At 37.8% G+C, this 1,583-nt stretch overlaps 1 annotated feature.

The window, feature by feature from the left end:
- Window positions 1,144–1,313: an enhancer, noted in NCBI's record as "experimental_85525 CRE fragment used in MPRA reporter constructs". NCBI's record gives its function as "activates a minimal promoter by MPRAs in K562 erythroleukemia cells, with activity observed for both the introgressed and non-introgressed 5:43887854 variant alleles {active_cell/tissue: K562}" and the evidence as "EXISTENCE:reporter gene assay evidence [ECO:0000049][PMID:34662402]".

Consider the following 1,583-nt stretch of genomic DNA (forward strand, 5'->3'; position numbering starts at 1 on the left):
TGGAACCTACATATGACACTTATTTGAAAAGAAACCCATCTTCAAACTATAGATTTACTGAGAAAAGGCTAGTACTCTGTTGGACTTTGGAAGACATGACTTTTGGTACGTATGTATTTGTGAATTTTAGAGCAAACAAAAGGAAACTTTGAGATCCTAGAGTCACTGCTGTTGGAAATAACCTTGGTAGACATGTACTATGCCTCATTTTGATAAGGGAAGTAAACTCACTCCAGAGGGATTAAATACTTTTCTCAGGATCATGTAGCTAGTTAACGGCAGTTCTAGTTTTAACTAGGACTTCCTAACTGTCTTCTGAGATGGTGGCTCCTCCAGAGCATCACTCAGATTTATCTGCACTCTTGCATTCTTGTGATTGTCACCCTGCCCATGCTTTCGCCATTTCTTATGGGGTCGACTGCCACAGTGCTGTTTCTGTGACGTAATAAAAAGGGAGGTCATTGTGCATTTCATTCTTTGGCGGCCTGTCCTACTGTACCATTAGCAAGCTCAGTAAGATGGAAATGAGATGGCAGGATGAAGATAGATGGTCCTCTAGGCTTTCATCTTCTCTTCCATCCATCCATCTGTAAGACATTCTTCCTTCCTGCTTTTACACTCACCCCTCCAGTGGCCTGCACTGTATGCTTTCCATCTTTTCCATTTTAAGACTGTCTGAATGTTCATTTTCACTTGATTCTATATCATAAAATGCCCCATATTTTTTGGAAGTAGAGATGACAGGATGATTTTAGTTAAAATATGTCTGAGGACTCATCTCTTCCAAGTTTGGCCCCATCTGTGATGTCCACATATGCTGATACCCCATCTCCAAACTATCCCCTACAGAACTCTCAGGTTAATCTTAAAGCACAGATTTCTCTGGTGTCATTCTTATTCTTAAAAGTATAAATTTACTCTCAATACTTATAGACATAATTCCTTAGTTGGATATTTAAGATTTTCCACAATTTCTTCCCTAAGTTCTGTGACATCTCTAGCCACTCATCTCAATGAACACACTATTCCAGTCCTAGTTGTATTATTACTTCTGTCTATTCAATAAACTATTTTTCCAGGCTCTTTTTTTAAAGACATTGTTCCTGGTGTTGAGAATGTCATGACAGGTGAATATTAACCACTAATGTTGGCGATAAAGAACCCTACCCAGTCAATATTGCCAACAATATCTCCATTACTATTATTATTTACCAGGGTAGGTAAATAATATTAACACATACTATAACTTACATGTGCAGAAAAATGTAACATTAATTTTATCTATAATTAATCTAATCTCCCTACTGAGCCCTACTCTTCAGATAGCAGAAAACTCTCTGAACCTGGGTCCCCCTCTCTCCAAAGTAATGAGACTAAATGTTCAAATGTGTTTAAACCTTACTCTGGTCCTATAATTTAAATACTCCACTTAGGTAAAGTTCAATCTTTCTAGGAGCAAATGCTCAGTCTCTTAAAAGTTTAAATCTTCTGTTCTTCCTCCTGGTTCCTTTCTAAGATGGTATCTGTTCAATGGGTGAGGACAAGGGAGTGGTATGTATCAGAAAGAAAAACTAGGAGTCCTT

This window comes from Homo sapiens, chromosome 5, assembly GCF_000001405.40.
Source record: "Homo sapiens chromosome 5, GRCh38.p14 Primary Assembly".
In the NCBI taxonomy this organism is placed as follows: Eukaryota; Metazoa; Chordata; class Mammalia; order Primates; family Hominidae; genus Homo; species Homo sapiens.